The sequence below is a fragment of the Homo sapiens genome, chromosome 9 (genome assembly GCF_000001405.40).
Source record: "Homo sapiens chromosome 9, GRCh38.p14 Primary Assembly".
In the NCBI taxonomy this organism is placed as follows: Eukaryota; Metazoa; Chordata; class Mammalia; order Primates; family Hominidae; genus Homo; species Homo sapiens.
In genome coordinates, this window is record NC_000009.12 from 13,668,247 (window position 1) to 13,686,177 (window position 17,931).

The window sequence follows — 17,931 nt, forward strand, 5'->3', positions numbered from 1 at the left end:
GAGTTTCTAACTGAAAATCTTAAAAGCGACAAACAATTCATTTTGTGAGACCAGTATTATAAGGACATTACAGTAATAGAATATTACAGATCAATATTCCTGATGAATGCAAATGTAAAAATTTTCAAGCAGCAAATCAAATTCAATGCCACATTGAAAGGATCATACACTTCGTCCAACTGGGTTTTACCCCTGGGATGCAAGGATAGTTCAACATACAAAAATCAATCAACGTGATACATCATATCAATAGAACAGAATGAATAATGAAAATCACATGAACACTCAACAAACTAGGAATAGAATAAAATACCTTAACATAATAAAGGCCAAATATGAAAAGCCCACAGCTAACGTCATACTCAGTGGTGAAAAAATGAAATTTTTTCATTTAAGATCAGGACCAAGTCAAAAAACCCACCCACACCACTTCTATTCAACATATTATTGAAATTCCTGGCCAGAACAATTAGGCAAGAAAAAATAAACAGAAGGCATCCAAATTGGAATGGAATAAGTAAAATTATGTTTTTAGAATACATTATCCTACATGGAGAAAACCTTAAGAATTTCATAAATCTGTTTGAACTAATAAACAAATTCAGTAAACTTTCAGGATACAAAATTAATGTATGAAAATCAGTTACATTTCTATACATTAACAATAAACAATACAAAAAAGAAATTGAGAAAAAAATTTCATTTATAATATTCTAAAGAGAATAAAATACTTAGGAATAAACTTAACCAAAGAGGCATAAACTTGTACACTGAAAACCATAAAACATGGCTGAAAGAAATAAAATAATACACCAATAAATGAAAATAAATTCTGTGTTGATGAATAGGAAGATTTAATATTATTAAAATGATCCTATTACTCCATGTAATGTACAGATTCCATACAATCTTTATCAAAATTCCAATGACATTTTTTAAAGAAATAAAAAAATCTAAAATTCAAATGGAAGCACAAAGGACCTGAACAGCCAAAATGATCTTCAAGAAAAAGATGAAAGCTGGGAGTCTCATACGTCTTCATTTCAAAACATATTACAAAGCTACAGTAATCAAACCAGTATGGTACTAACATAAAGTCAGACATATAAACCAACAGAAAAGAATAGAGGGCCCATAAATCTGTGCATATATGGTCAACTAATATTTGAAAGGGGATCAAGAACACACAATGGGTAAAGAATAGTCTCTTCAACCAGTGGTCTTGGGGAAACTGTATATCCACATGCAAATGAATAAAATTGGAACCTAGTCTTTCACCATCTACAAAAATCAATTCAAAATGGATTCAAGATTTAAGCCTGAGGTCTGGAAATATAAAACTCCTAGAAGACAACATATGGGGGGAAAAGCTTCATGATATTGGTCTTGGCAATTATTTCTTGGATATGAACCCAAATGCACAGGCAGCAAAAGTAAAAACAGACAAGTGAGAAAACATAAAACTAACACTGTGCACTTCTGCACAACAAAGAACACAATCAACAGAGTGAAAAAATGAGAGAAAATATGTATGGACCTAAATGTCCATCAAAGGATAAATGGATAAAGAAAATGTGGTATGTACATACAAAGGAACATTATTTGGTCTTAAGAAGGGAACCCAGCATATGAAGTAACAGGAATGAACCTGGAGGACATTATGCTGAGTGAAATAAGCCCATCTCTGAAGGACACATGCTACATGATTCCGCTTATATGAGATATCTAAAGTAGTCCAGCTTATCGAAGCACGAAGGGGCAGAGGCAGAGGAAGAAATAGAAAGTTGCTGTTCAATAGGTATTAAATTTCTGTTATGCAAGATGAAAAAGTTCTGGAGACCTACTGTACAACATGGTGCCTATAGCTAACAATACTGTATTGTACATTTAAAATGTTGTTAAGAGGTTAAATTTCATGTTTGTGTCTTTTACCACAATAAAAAAAAGAACATGTAAGAAAGTTCATGTCTATCATATGATAGTGCCCATGCTATCTGGAAAAGAACCATATTGAGAAAAGCATGATATAATCCAGTAGCAAAGATTTTTTTCTTAGTGACCCTAGGCACAAATGTTTTTGGAATTTAGAGCCTTGTGTTTTATTACCTTGAAATAGTATCGCCCAGTTTAAGCTTTTTAGTTTCTTTATGCCTCAGTTTCCTCATATGTAAAATAGAGTTTTACATATTTTATGGAAGTTTTTAGGCAAATTTAATGGGATTAATTCATATAAATGCATTACAGAAACGTATCACTCAATAAATGATAGCTATATTTATACTTCCCAAAAGCTACAGTGTGATTAAATCAGGTTTCTTTGACCCGATAGGGAACACTACATACTAAGCCAGTGTGGAAGCCTGAGTTGTCTTTTATACTCTGTCCATAGATAACTTGACTTTGGCTCATGCTCTGATCAATACATGGCCTGATCTGTTGTGACTCAGTAGCAAAGTTGGCAATATCACTTAGGAGGATTTCCTTGGCAAAACTATCTTTTTAAAGAAATCAAGCAATTTATTATGTCACATAAAAAGAAATAAGAAGTAGAGTAATTTTTCAGGTTTATTTAGCAATTCAATGAAGTCAGCAAGGACATGTGTCTTTCTATCTTTGTGTTCAACTATGTTTTGTCCATCATCATTTTTTTGTTTTTTGAGATAGAGTCTCGCTCTGTTGCCCAGGCTGGAGTGCAGTGGCATGATCTTGGCTCACTGGAACCTTCACCTCCCAGGTTCAAGTGATTCTCATGCCTCAGCCTCTCAAATTGCTGGGATTACAGGTGAGCCCCATAGCGCCTGGCTAATTTTTATATTTGTAGTAGAGATGGGGTTTCACCATGTTGGCCAGGCTGTTCTTGAACTCCTGACCTCAAGTGTTCTGCCCACCTCAGTTTCCCAAAGTGCTGGGATTACAGGTGTGAGCCATGACACCCAGCCTGCCATCACCCTTTTATCTGTGTCTTCATGTTGGTTCTCTTAACGATCGTAAGACATCTGCAAGAAGCAGATGGAGAAATAAATACATGATAATTTGTGATCTGCAGAATCGCAAGCTAAAGCTAGAGAGAGAAGAGAAAGAGAAACTTGTGTCCCAGAAACTTGTGTAAGTATGCCTTTCTCTTCAGTCTGATTGGGCCATTTTAAATGAATCCACTCCTGGATAACAGGAAAATATATCTCAATTAAATTGCTCCAATCAGAATTTCTTCTGAAACTGAAAAAGGAATGAATATCTGAACAAAACTGTGAGAGTTAGAAACAGGAAGTGGAGGTGAATGTTGGGTAGTCTGCCAACCATGTTGACTAAACTCAATTTCCCGAAATGTACACAGCATACACTAAAGCAATCTGTGTCCGAAAGATTCACTTCAGGTTAAATTCTGAGAAGGGTCAATTATCAGGTATGTGAGCTTTCATTGACTTCAGGAACTGCAGTGTATATCTTACAAGGATATTTAAAATTTTTTCACCCCAAAATATAACTTATATGCTAAGTTATATCGATATTAAAATATAACCATAAATGTGGGTCAAAATAATTCAATTTTATTTATTGGATTTATTCTATTTCTTTTGTGTTTTTTTAATGCTAATATCTAGAATCTAGAATTTCGATGCTGACAGGAAGTATTATAAATTGGGTTTCCTGATACTGTGTTTTAAAAATTTTTATTAGCAGATTTGAAACTGCACTGACACTAATTTAAATTTTACAAGTAATTTTCTGCATTTTACGAAATGTCTAAAGTATATTTAGAACTAGCTATGTAGCCACTAGGAAGAAAGTGTGAAAGAACAGTAGAGAGTGGAGGTGGTTAGCTAATGTCTTTTAGTGCATGATTGGACTCTGAGTATATTTTAACATGTCGTGAGTGTACCAGTTAAAAGACTAATTGTTAACATGAGAAAAGAAATGGAGCTAAGTTTAAAAACAGAATGAGGAGAATCATTGATTAGTTCTCTATTTTTACAGCAGAAAATGTGACTTAGGTGTTTAAATTGTGAAGTCATTTGCAGAGAACACACATAAATAGTTCTCAGTAGATATTCTTTTACCTATATTTAGTATAAAGGCAGTCACTATTCTTAGCATAATTATTCCATTTTTCTTCATATAGTTTCATTGCTCTTGGTCAGAACAATGACACACTCATTATTTCTGTCCAGATTTTCAAGGATTATTGACGCAGTTGATGATATTTTCCTACAACCTACGTTAACAGCACCCATTGTTCAGAATATAGACTCTCACAGGATTGAGGTACGAGCACAGTTTAGATCTTAAGCCACGCCGGCTTGTGGGTAAAACTTGGAGTAAAATTAACCTCTAGGCCTAAATCTCACAGGCTTATTTAGATTTACCTTTATAATCCCAGGACATTGACTACTGTCTGAAGTACTCTGTGTTAGTTTCCTAGAGTTGCTGTAACAAAGTGCCACAAAAATGGGTGGTTTAGAACAAGTGACAGTTATTGTCTCACAGATTTGGAGGCTGGAAGTTCAAAATCACGGCGGGCAGGGCCATGTTCCTTCTGAAGGCAGGATCTGCTCCAGGGCTCTCTCCTACTTTATGGTAGCCTCGGGCATGCTGTGGCTTGTGCATAGCTCTCTTCTCCCCATGTCTCTTCACATCCTCTTCTCTCCATGTACGCCTCTGTGTCCAGCTTTCCACTTCTCTTAAGGATACAGTCGTATTGGATTAAATCCCATCTTCATCACCTCATTTAATTTAGTTACCTTTGTAAAAACCCTATTTCCACATAAGGTCACATTCTGAGGTACTGGGGGTTATGATTTTAACTTATCTTTTGGGAGGGGGTACACAATTCAGCCCGTGACATGTGCCTCCTTACCTTAGACCAGTGAAGGTCCCCGGCTCATATCTGGCATGGGCTGCCTTGGGTCACCACCCAGATGCTACTCCCCACATATTCCGGGCCATAGGGTTCAACATACTGCTTAGGCTGCAGCTCTAGTCAAACAATTGTTAGTTGAATGACTACTGCTTGCTAGCCTTGGGGATACATTAGAAATGGTTGTTGTCTACAAATAAATAAATAACAGTATAATTAGAAATGATGTTCTATGTTTTGGAGTATATGAGTAGGGTGGAGGGAAAAAGAATAATAATAAGGGGAGGGTACCCACCTACCTAGGTTAGTCACAGAAAGCTACTCTGAGTAGGTGACCTTTTGACCTAGGCCGGAAGGATGAGAAAAGATCAGCAGAAGATGAAAAACAGATAATTTCTTATTCCAGGCAGAAAAAATAGCATGTGCAAAGGCCCTGAGGCAGGAAAGAGGTGAGCCTATTTTAAGATCTGAAAGGCAGATAAGATATCTAGACTTTGCTATTACCCATTTTATAGAGCAATAGAGTAATATTTCCTAACGTATATAATAAAGGCAGAATTGGGATTGGATCTACTTTACTTTGTCCTCACCAATGCGTATTCTTCCCCTAAACAGATTAATTACTGAGTCCTGCTGGTTGTATCTGCCTTCCTCTCTATCCTTACTCCTACTTATATAGGAGTGGACACTTGCCACCTTCTATGAGATTCCTATATCAGCCTTCCCTAATGACAGCAGACCTGTCCTCTTAAAATTCATTCTTCACACTCCAGCCAGAGAGGACAGATAGCTGAGTTTCTGTTTGGCTTAACACCCACTGCTGAACCCACACCCTCTACAGCATGCCCCTAGGAGGCTCACTGTGATCTCTGAGGACTGCCATGCTGTGGCCTCTGTTCCTAATTCAGGCCAACTGTCTGCCATCCTGCTGTCAGCCCCGAGCACCATGGACTGTTTTTGCAGTCCTCCTCTTTATTATGCTGTTTTGCACCCCTAGCCTGTGCTGATGCTGTGCCTTGCTATAGGTAAGTTTTGGTGAAGTCTATTAAATACTTTAACATCTAGCTGATGGCCTTCCTCCTCTAAGATGCGTTCCCAGAACTTTTGACTAAGCTACATGGCCTTCCTTGGTGCTTCCATGTGCACATCCCTATCATTGCCCTCAGCACATTGCTCTTCAATGGTCTGTTGATGGGTTTTTTCATTGAGAACAATTTCAGGCAGACACTGTGCTTTCATCTTTGTACATACCCAGTACAGTGCCTGGAACATAGTGGATATTCAACAGTTTTCTGCTGAGTATGTGGATGAATGACAATTTCCAAGACATAGTTGAGAAAAAAACTTCGTAAGTTTGAAGCTACCTTGGATGTTTTAGAGAATCCAACAACCACTTTCTTCTAATTTATTCCTTCCCTCCTTGTTCAAAAATTCCCTTTATGCCAGTTTCTGGGCCTCAGAAGCCTCACCATACTCATACACCCTGCTGGAAGCCACAACTGTATTTGAATTGTCAGTCATAACACCTTATTCCCACCACTTCACACTCAATGTGAACCCAAGTACAATATCCTACAAGGAAATCATAACCTCTCTCTGCTTCTGGATTATGGTGCTCTACACAATAGTACCTCTAAGACTCGCCCTAAGATGTCTAAGTGCATCTCCATGAACTGCCACAATAGTCTCCAGGTGCCCTTCCACGTGGAAGGGCATTTCACTCAAAGCATGACTGGCAGCTCAAGTAGAGCAACAAGATGAGTGTGGGCAGCCCTGTGTCTTGCCAGGTCAGTGCTGGCGGCTGTGAGAGAGGCGATGACCCATGCAGGCGCTGCAGCAGCAATACAGAGGCTATGCAGGAAATGGGGAGTGGGAGAATTGCTGCAGCAGCAGAACTGCCACCCACTGGGAAGATATCAACTACCCAGGGCTCGACCTGGCAAAGGGAACATTCCTGTGATTCTGCGGGGTAAAATTCAGAACAAAAGGGCATTGTTATGTTCCAGAATTATGGTTCCTGATTCTATCTCCAATATTTAAAATGAGTCATCTATCCATTGCACATCTCAACATCTTTCTATGTAGTTCAGGACAAGCATGACATGAGGAATGTATAATTAGAGTCAGTCAAACTTAAAGGCTCAGAGATCTATTAATGCTTATGAAGTTTGTTAGAGAATATTTCTTTTCAGCGCAGCATATGCACAGGTTATGTGCTTGGAGGGGGAAGCAGCTCCATAGGCAAAAGTGGAAGGCCTTGAAGCTTTGTTCTTTTCTGAGACAGCACCCAGCAAGGTGTACCATTGCTGTGCTACATTCTGTGAATATTTTGGGGACAAGTGTCAGGACACGTTTCATGAGCACAGGTGCATTCTATTTGTGTCAGCATCTGTAGAGTACGGGAGGGTGTTGAAAGAAAAAGAACAGACTTTTCTCCCAACTCCAGTAAGGCTGCCGTTGGAAAAGGCTTTTCTTGGCATTTTTCTGAACACAGCTCAGTAATGCTTCTAGGTGGGGTATACTGAGAACAAGGGATTCCAAATCCAAAACTGTCCTACTCAAGCCCCTACTTAACTTGGAATGAGGTTGTGCAAGAAGTTGGTCTTCTGGTTACTTGTTCAACACAGCTGGAACCTTCCCTACCAAGGCAACTGTTACTTGGGTTCAGGGTTAGGGGAAGGTCATGATAGCCTTTAAAGGATGTGAGAACAAACAGCCATGGTACTGACAAGTCATTGGCTCTGAATTTTACCCCGCAGAATCACAGGAATGTTCCCTTTGCCAGGTCGAGCCCTGGGTAGTTGATATCTCCCAGTGGGTGGCAGTTCTGCTGCTGCAGCAATTCTCCCACTCCCCATTTCCTGCATAGCCTCTGTATTGCTGCTGCAGCATCTGCATGGGTCATCGCCTCTCTCACGGCCGCCAGCACTGACCTGGCAAGACACAGGGCTGCCCACACTGATCTTGTTGCTCTAATTGAGCTGCCAGTCATGCTTTGAGTGAAATGCGGAAAGCCGTGGTCCCCACAGAAGTTATAAATTTTAATTCTACTTGGACTTGAGAAAGAGTAGCCTTGATTGTCATTATCCCATTTTATGGAGTCCTTTTGCCTAGGAATCTGAGACAAATTTCCCAATGGGTACACTAGAGAACAGTTTAATGGTACTACAAAATGTCATATGTAGAAACACCCCTCCCAGTCCGCAGTCAAATTGTGTCCAAGAGTTGAGACTAGACATCTTTTTCTTTTGTTTCTCAGGAAGCTCCCTACCTAGTTGTGATACTTTGTGAGAAATGAGTCTCTCTTTTTAAAATATTGAGTCTGGAGAATATCATTTTGACAATTTTCTCTATAGTATCTCCTGCAAGGTTTATAAAGTCCCATTTATGCTAGTGTTACCCTCCCTTCTGAAATCCTAAGTGTTTATAATATCTTTATATGTAGCATAAATACTAACAAATATGATAAAGCAACTGGTGATAACTTTTTTTAACTTTAAAAAATATGGAAATGTTTTCGAAGTTACATTTGTTCATTTTTTTATATCCAAAATTGTTTCAGAATTGATTTACCTATCATAAGAATACTTGCAAGAATAAGAATAATGCAAAGAACACCCGTATACTCTTTAACCTATATTCACCCATGATTAATATCTTACTCCATTACCTTATTGATTGCTCGAGAGATAGATAGGTAGATAATGAGGGATAGATGGATAGATAGATAGATGTATAATATTTTTCCTGAATCACTGGTAGATAAGTTACATACACCACTGCCCTTTACTTCTAAGTACCTTAGTAGGAATTTCATTAAGAATAATCATAATAGTTATCAAGCTCAGTTAAAGTAGTATTGATATCTCTAATAAATCTAAGATATATTTACTTTAGATATAATCTGTCATCTGTATTTCAGTTTTTCAGTTGACCTAATAATAACCTTCACAGTAATTTCCCCCCTCTCCAATACTGGATCTGGTCTAGATTTACATATCACATTTAGTTGTCATGTCTTTTGCATCTCCCTTAATCTGAAATATCCCAAGATTCTTTGTCTTTCATGACCCTTTCATTTTTGAAGAATACAATCATGTTCCTTTTTTTAAAAAATAGGGATTGTTTCTTATTTGGGGTTTGATGTTTTCTTATGATTACATTCTATTTTCAGCAAGATGACAGCACAGGTGATCAATCTGGATATACACAATGGCCTTCTGCCTTTCATTGATATTAATTTTGATCACCCAAAGTGTTACCTGATTTCTCCACTGTATAATTTTTTTTCTCTTGAAACTCATCAGCAGTTTGTAGGGGAAATCCTTCAAGATGATTCAAGTATCTGGCTCTTCATCATAATTTGGCAGTCATCAATGTTTGCAAAATGCTAATCTTTCAAGACTAGCTCATCCTACACATTTGCCGGTTGACTCTCAGCAACATACCATAAGCAAGGACTCTGCTTTCTTTCCCACTTATTTAGTTATTTATCTATTTATTATTGGTATGGACTAAGGAATTTCTATTTTTAATAGTTTATAATTCATTCAAGTACTAAATAGTTGATGATCAAATTGCTCCAGATTTGGCAAGAAGGAGCCTATTCATATGGCTCTGTCCTTTTGGTATCCATCTCTTAGTTTTTGAGCCCTAGTCTAACTTTTAAAAGAACAAAATGTTCTAGGATCATCCATACCTACCCTGCCTGAGCCCTGGAATTAGCCAAGGAGTTGGAGTCCTTTTAGTGGTGAATAGTATTAGAGACCAAAGTTTGGGACTAGGCATGCCCAACTGGAATGTCTTTGCTTCTTGATGCTTTCAGAAGACAGAGCTAGGAAATATGCACATGTATATATACAAATTCATTCAGAAACGTACAAATATGCATACATATATGCACCCACACATGCACAGACATATGCATACATTCATGCTATATATTATACATTTATATCCACACTTTAGAAATTATGAGTTCACATCAGCATGTCCAATTCCAATTCACCACCACAGAGTACTTCATTGCCTTTGCTCCTCCACATTTTTATTTCTCTTCTCAGTGGCAAGGCTGAATCCCAACAACATCAACACATGTATTTATTGGCTCATTCATTTGTTCATATATTTCTATCCAAAATTGTTTCCAAATTGATTTACTTATCATAAAATTGCTTTAATTAGAAAAAATGAGATACTTCTTCTCAAGTACAGCTTCACTCCTTTCTTACACAATAGTCTTATTTCCATAGTCATAGGAGACACAAAAAGGCTTAAATTCAATTGAGTTCCAAAACTTATACTCTTCTTCTTAACAATATTGTTGTATAATCTTAGCTCTGGAATATTTATTTTATTACCAGGGAGGGAATTGGGAATGAAGATCACTCTGTCTCCTATGCTAGGTATGAACGTTAATTTTGAAGGTGAGTTTGGAGTTGGTTTGAAAATAATGGGTTGTAGAGAAGGCTTCCTGTACCCTTCAAGAGCCCAGCAGTGAGGTCTTGAGATTGCACACACCGGTTTATAATTTTATAAGCACTTAAAATTTTTAATTTACCCATAGATTTTCCCTCTATCTAAATATTTTTTGCTTAATATTTAGATTGCCAGAGAAGCTAGAGATTTTCTCGCAGGTAAATGAGGATGGAATACTTTAAATACAAATCACCAGGCTTTTGTACCTATAAGGGGCAGTAATAATTTAATAGTATCACAAAGGAAGTTACCACGCAGTAACATTTTCTAAAGTATGATTCTTGGGATACTATAATTATGTGGCAGCATTATTATGAGTATTTGAAAATAACATTCATAGATAAGTTTGGAAAATTTGTGGTAAAATACACTAAATATTTCAAAATTTTCTCCAATAATTCTTAGGGTTTTAATTTTGATAATGTACATTGCGTATTGCCAACAGGAAATAAAATTCAGGTCTCTGCACCATATTTTAAAACTGATTACAGGCATACTTCAAAGATATTTCAGGTTCATTTCCAGACCACCACAATAATGTATTGCAATAATGAAAGTCACATGAATTTTTTGACTTCCCAGTGCATGTAATGACAACAGTGAAGTTTGCTGTACCCATTGACTTTTCTTTTAAAAACGATTTTACTGTAGCATGTGATGCTCACTGATAGCATTTTACCTACAGAACTAACTTCTTTCTTTCTTTTCTTTTCTTTTTTTTTTTTTTTTTGAGACAGAGTCTCACTCTGTGTCCCAGGCTGGAGTGAAGTGGCACAATCTCGGCTCACTCTAACCTCCGCCCCCTGGGTTCAAGCGATTCTCCTGCCTCAGCCTCCCAAGTAGCTGATATCACAGGCACCCATCACCATGTCCAGCTAATTTCTTTTTATTTTTTTGTAGAGACGGGGTTTTGCCATGATGGCCAGGCTGGTCTCGAACTCTTGACCTCAGGTGATCCACCCGCCTTGGCCTCCCAACGAAACTTCTTTCAAAATTGGAGTCAGTCCTCTCAAATGCTGCCACTGCATTATCAACTAAGTTTATGTAATATATTGTCATTTCAACAATGTTTATAGCATCTTCACCAGGGGTAGATTCTATCTCAAGAAACCACTTTCTTTGCTCATTTGTAAGAAGCACCTCCTCACCTGTTCAAGCTTTATCATTAGAGAGCAGCAACTCAGTCACATCTTTGGGCTCCACTTCTAATTGTAGTTCTCATGCTGTTTCCACCACATCAGCAGTTAATTCCACCACTGAAGTATTGAACCCCCTCAAAGTTATCCAGGAGGTTTGGAATTAACTTCTTCCAAATTCCTGTTAATAATATTTTAGCGTCTTCTTATGAATCATGAATTTTCTCAGTGGCATATAGAATGGTGAACACTTTCCAGAAGGTTTTCCATTTTCTTTGCCCAGGTCCATTACAGGAGTTACTATTCATGGCAGCTATAGACTTATAAAACGTATTTCTTAAATTCTAAGACTTGAAAGTTTAAGTAATTCCTTGATCCCTGGGCTACAGAATAAATGCTGTATTACTGGACATGAAAAAAACATTAATTTCCTTGTGCATCTCCATCAGAGCTCTTGGTTGATGAGGTACACTGTCGACAAGGAGTAATGTTTTGAAGGAATCTTTTTCTCCTAACAGTAGGCCTTAGTAGTGGGCTAAAAATATGTAGCAAATCATATTATAAACATATATGCTGTCATCCAGGCTTTGTTGTTCCATTTATAGAGCACAGGCAAAGTAGATTTAGCATACTTCTTAAGGACTCTAGAATTTTCAGAATGGTAAATAAGTACTGGCTTCAACTTAAAGTCACCAGCTACATTAGCTCCTAATAAGAGAGTCAGCCCGTCCTTTGAAGCTTTGAAGTCAGGCATTGACTTCTCCTCTCTAGCTATGGAAGTCCTAGATGGCATTTTCTTCCAATAGAAGGCTGTTTCATCTACATTAAAAACCTGCTTAGTGTAACCTCCTTCATCAATAATGTTAGCAAGATCTTCTGGATAACTTGCTGTAGCTTCTACACCAGCACTTGCTGCTTCACCTTGTACTTTTATGTTATGAAAATAGCTTCTTTCCTTAAACCAGCTTCTTTCGTTAAACCTCATGAACCAATCTGCTAGCTTCCAACTTTTCTTCTGCAGCTTCCTTACCTCTCTTAGCCTTCATAGAATTGAAGAAAGTTAGGGTCTTGCTCTCGATTGGTTTGTCTTAAGAGAATGTTACGGCTGATTTGATCTTCTACCCAGATTACTGCAACTTTCTCCATGTCAGCAATGAGGCTGCTTTGCTTTCTTATCATCCATGTATTCACTGGAGTAGCACTTCTAATTTCCTCCAAGAACTTTTTCTTTGCATTCAAAAGTTATGTTACTGTTGGGTACAAGAGACCTAACTTTCATCCTATCTTGGCTTTTGACACGCTTTCCTCAATAAGAGTAATCATTTCTAGGTTTTAATTAAAAGTGACAGAAATGCCAGTCTTCCTTTCATTTGAACGCTTAACAGGGCATTGTAAAGTTACTAATTCGTTTAATATCAGTATTTTTGTGTCCTGGGGAATAAGAAGACCCAAGGAAAGGGAGAGAGATGAGAGAATGGCTGGTTAGTGGAGCACTCAAACCACACACAGCATTTATTAAGTTAATCATCTTAATTACGGGTGTTCATGGAGCCCCAAAACAATTACTAGAGTAACATCAAAGATCAATGATCACAGATCACCATAACAGATATAATAATAACAAGTTTGAAATATTGTGAGAATTACCAAAATGTTACACAGAGATAGGAAGTGAACATGTGCTGTTGGAAAAATGGTGCCTATGGACACAATATTGTCACAAATCTTCATTTTGTAAAAAAACACGGTATCTGCAAAGCACAATAAAGTTTATCTCAAAACAAGGCATGACTATAAACACAGGTGTGACACATGTCTATGGATTATATTATGATGCAGTACTAGTAGTCAAAATAATATACTTTGGGAAATGCCAGAAAGCAATATAGGAAAAGGTTTTGTTTTATTTTTTCTGGTGGAGAAATAGGTTATAGTGCTGGTCAAACTGTCCCATTTTTGAGAATTCCTGGGATCAGGATAACATGGGCTGGTTATCTGAAGTAGCTGAAACATAGACAGGAGGTGAATCTTGTCCAAGAAAGAGGGCCAAAGCTGAAAGCCAGAGAAGCCCAATTATGTTTTGTGTCCCAGGGCGAGGGACATGAAACTGAAGGACAAAGAGTTAGTGAAAATAGGAGCAGAATGAGAAGTAAGTGGAAATTAATTGAATAGGTCATAGGCTTCAACCATAGGCAAGGAAAGAAGTAAAAAGCTCTTTATATTATGTCACAGCCACTTGGTACATGAATGGTTTGGCCTGAATTAAAAGAAAAAGATTATGAAAGTATTTCTTGATGTTCTATCAGACCAGAAGCTTTGCTCTACTGACACCAGTAGTTGTTTTCTACACACTGAAATCCAGGGTGGTAAATAAGATCTCACCCACCACAGCCTTCCACAAGCCACTCTATGGCATTAGCAGGCACCTGCAGTCTACATTGGCAATAAAACACACTTCATTAAGTTCTAGAGCGCATGGATCTGAGCTCAAGCAATAGGAATAGGAACAGATATAGCCAAAGTTACATAAACACAGAAATTGTACTTTAAAATACGAACTGCAAGCACTGCAGTCGGGGAATACAAACCCCCTGCTCCTGGTTGCGTAGGACCACAGATTACAACACAAGGGAAGCAGGACCCAGAAAGGAGCATGTCCCTTTGTCATTTGTGGTGAAACCTTATACTAGTTCTCAAGTAATGAGGGCCTGGGGTTAATAACAGAATCATTCTCTAGTCATATGAGTTTATGTTTAATTACTTAATAAAGAGTATAGAGATTGTTCTAGAGAGTGAGACCAGTCATTTTTAAGTAACTCTACCATTTTATAAGATCCAAAAACATTACCATGCCTGGTGAAGTCAAGTAAAAATTATCCACCTTCCACTGCCATTGGGAATCTAGTGACCAGAACAGAGAAGCCACACTAGCCATTTTTCTTATATACAGAAGCCTGAACAAGGTTTCCTTCTCTCTACACATCACAAGTGCTCCCTAGGCTTTTCTGAGACACCCCCTCACCTTACTGGCTACAAAAGCAGACTCCTTCTAGATTCATTCTTACAATAGTGGCACACACTGAGGCATCAAAAACCAAGTCATCTAGGAAGCGGGCAAACAAGACTTAAGACTTCTAGAAGTAACTTGTTAGTTGACTGTGTCCAACCCATGGCTATACCTTCAAAAAGCTAGAGCAATTTGCAAAAACCTGGATTAGCCTTTTAAAGTTTAAAATTGTGAAAAAGCAGGAAAAAACAAATCGTTTAAACTAGTTTCTATATATGAGTGTCTATCTACCGTGGCAGGATGGCAGGAGAGATGGAGTGGTGGAACCAGGCAGGCTGCCTTCCATTCTTGGCTGGCCTGTTTCCTAGCTGGGTGAATATGGAATATTTGCCTTTTCTGAGCCTGTGTTCCCTGTCTAGCACCACCCTACTCCTTCTCACTTAGTGTGTTCTTACTACACAGGTATTCTTTGAGTGACTTAAAGTGTGCTCTTTCCCACCCTGTGGCCTTTGCATGTTTTTTTTCTACAGGAACACATGTTTGTAGCTGGTCACATGGCTGGCCACTTCTCATCTTTCAGCTCTTACCTTTTCAAGAGGCCTCTGATCACTGATCCTAGATCATCTCCCACTATTGCCCTCTGTCACGGTACTCTTTCATATTTTCTTTGCAGGAGGTATAACAATTTATAGCAGTGTATTTATTTTGTTGATTTACTTGCTTATAGATTATCTTCCCTACTATGCTTTTAGCATCCGTGAAGGCAGGGACTTTATTGTTCACTGCTATGTACCTGTTGTCTTTGTTTTAGCTTGTTCAGGCTGCTATAACAAAATATCACACTAGTCATTTCCACAACTGGCTGGCTTATAAACAACAGAAAATTATTGCTTACAGCTCTAGAGGCTGGGGAAATCCAAGATCAAGACATCGCAGGTTCAGTGTCTGGTGAGGGCCCACTTCCTGGTTGATAGATGGCTTTCTGTTTTCTGTGTCGTCACATGGCAGAAGGGATGGGGCAGTTTTTGGGGCCTCTTTTATAAGGACACTAATCCCATTCACGAGTGCTCCACCCTCATGACTTAATCACTTCCCAAAGGTCCCACCTCCAAACACCATCACATTAGGAATCAGGTTTCAACATATGAATTTGGGGGTGGGGACATACATTCAGTCCACAGCACCTTGCATCGTTCTTGACACACATGGATGTTCAATATGTATTTGTTGAATACATGAGAATAATATGTATCTCCCAGACATGTTTTGGGAGTAAAATGAATGAAATGTATATGAAAGGTCTAACTCAATTCCTGGCCCATATCAGGCATCAGTAGGTATAGAGGCCTTTCTTCATTCTGTCTTCCCCAAGTGCAGCACTCACAGAATTAAAACTTACAAGACACTGAATTCCTAGGAATAAAATTTGAATGGAGTAGTAAAAAGATTAACTTGATGTTTAGAAGCTTCCTGAAAGAAGGAGAATATTATTTGTAAATACATATTTAAAAAAAAACTTCAAAATACTCCAATATCCAAAGTTGGTACAATTACCTTTCCCTGTTTACATTCTTATTTTTTAATGGCAGATTAGTAACAGAAAGCTAGTAATCCAGGATATATTGAGCTAAAAAAAAGTTAACCATGCTATTTGACGAGCTATGAATTGGAGCTAGACTTCTTGACCTCCAGCCTGAGCTAATTATTGTTTTTTCCAATGAATATATACAATTCGTTTTGCAAAGATTGAGTTATATTTCATCAAGGCTAAAACATATAAATTCTATCTTCTTTGCCTCCTTTCAAGAAGCTTGCTATAAAAGGGTCTCCTCTGCTTTAAGTCCCCATCAACAAAATTTCTGCCTTTAGAAAAAAGCAACCCTAAACTCATCAAATTAGGGACAAACCTATTGTTATTCTATCAGCTATAGGAATTGCAGGATTACCTATTAAACAGTACTTCCTTCCTTTGTCACTTTCCACAGATAAAGGAGAGTCATTTTATCTTAGGGAAAAAGAAATTGGTGAAAATAAACCACAATATTTGTTAATCACGTGGTCTTGAATCCTCGGGGAAAAAAGCACAGTAGTCCCCCTTATCTCTGGTTTCACTTTCAGTGGTGTCAGTTACCCACAGTCAACTGCAGTCCAAAAATGTTAAATGGAAAATCCCAGAAATAAACAATTGATAAGTTTTAAATTGTATGCTGCTCTGAGTGGCATGATGAAGTCTCATGCTGTTCTGCTCTGTCCCATCAGGGATGTGCATCATCCTTTTGTCCAGTATATCCACACTCTGTGTGCTTCCCACCCTATACAGTGTGACTGTATAGGAAAAAACATAGTTCAATACTATCCATGGTTTCAGGCATCTGCTGGGGGTCTTGGAATTAATCCCCTGTGGGTATGGGGGGGCACTACTGTAAACAACATAGAATCAGAGATTTTTCTGTTTCAAAGTGAAAATAGACCAAACAGATTATTGTACAATCCTTTAATCTACAAGTAAGGAGACTGAGGCCTCAAGAAATTTGATGAATTCCCAGGCAGAAGTGAGCAATAGACTTGAGTCCAACACTTGTCATTGAAGTTGCCACATCCACTAGTCTTCTACTTCCATGATTTCTTTTCTTCCCCTTGGCCTAGTTTTCCATTCCAATGACTTTCCCCACCCTTCTTGTCACTCAGTTTTTCTCTGGGACGAGAGTTTTCCCAGATGGCCCAGAGAGTGAAAACTAAAATAAATTAAAATCATTCTTGTAAAATTTGCTTTGTTTATTTCCATTATTGCTAATAATATGTGCTTCTTTTGTTTTTGTTTTTGTTTTTCTCACTCACTTGATGTGGAAACATTCACCCCAAAATAAATTCTCAATCAAGACTATTCTCTCAGTGTCCAGGAGTAAGCAGTCTTTAGGCACAAAGAGACAAAGAGTCTTCTCATCTCTGTCTACAGATTTCTTTTTGCCAAGGCATTAAAGTTAGTAAATAATGAGCTGGTGGTGCCTTGGGCTGCCTACTGAGCGCCCATTTCCTGGTACACATGCTTTTCCCATATTTATTCTTCAACAGAAGGTTAAACCATCCTTGGGTCGGGGGAGGGCATGCCACTGTGGCAGAGATTACTAACCCCAGTTGGCAGGTACTCATTGGGGTCCCCTGTTCTTTCCATTTATTTAGAAGGCAGAATAGGGAGCAGCAGAGACATATCCTTCAAGGAAATATGCTCAGTGATAGCATGGCAAGTTTTTCCAGCCCAGTTTCCAGAATTAGAAAAACTACTCACACACCATCCAACTGAGACAGTAGTAGATATGAAAAGGCTTCTTCAGTTAAGCAGATATATATTTAAGTCCATAAAGAACATATATACAAAGTGCCAGGCCCTGTACCAGAGACTAGAGCACCAGGGACAAACAGGACAGACAGCTTTTGATCTCTACCTGAGGGCTGCA

General features: G+C 38.1%; 2 annotated features.

The window, feature by feature from the left end:
• Positions 7,206–7,707: an enhancer, noted in NCBI's record as "OCT4-NANOG-H3K27ac hESC enhancer chr9:13675451-13675952 (GRCh37/hg19 assembly coordinates)". NCBI's record gives its function as "activates a minimal SCP1, AML or CMV promoter by ChIP-STARR-seq in primed H9 embryonic stem cells {active_cell/tissue: H9 hESC(primed)}" and the evidence as "EXISTENCE:reporter gene assay evidence [ECO:0000049][PMID:30033119]".
• Positions 7,708–8,207: an enhancer, noted in NCBI's record as "OCT4-NANOG-H3K27ac hESC enhancer chr9:13675953-13676452 (GRCh37/hg19 assembly coordinates)". NCBI's record gives its function as "activates a minimal SCP1, AML or CMV promoter by ChIP-STARR-seq in primed H9 embryonic stem cells {active_cell/tissue: H9 hESC(primed)}" and the evidence as "EXISTENCE:reporter gene assay evidence [ECO:0000049][PMID:30033119]".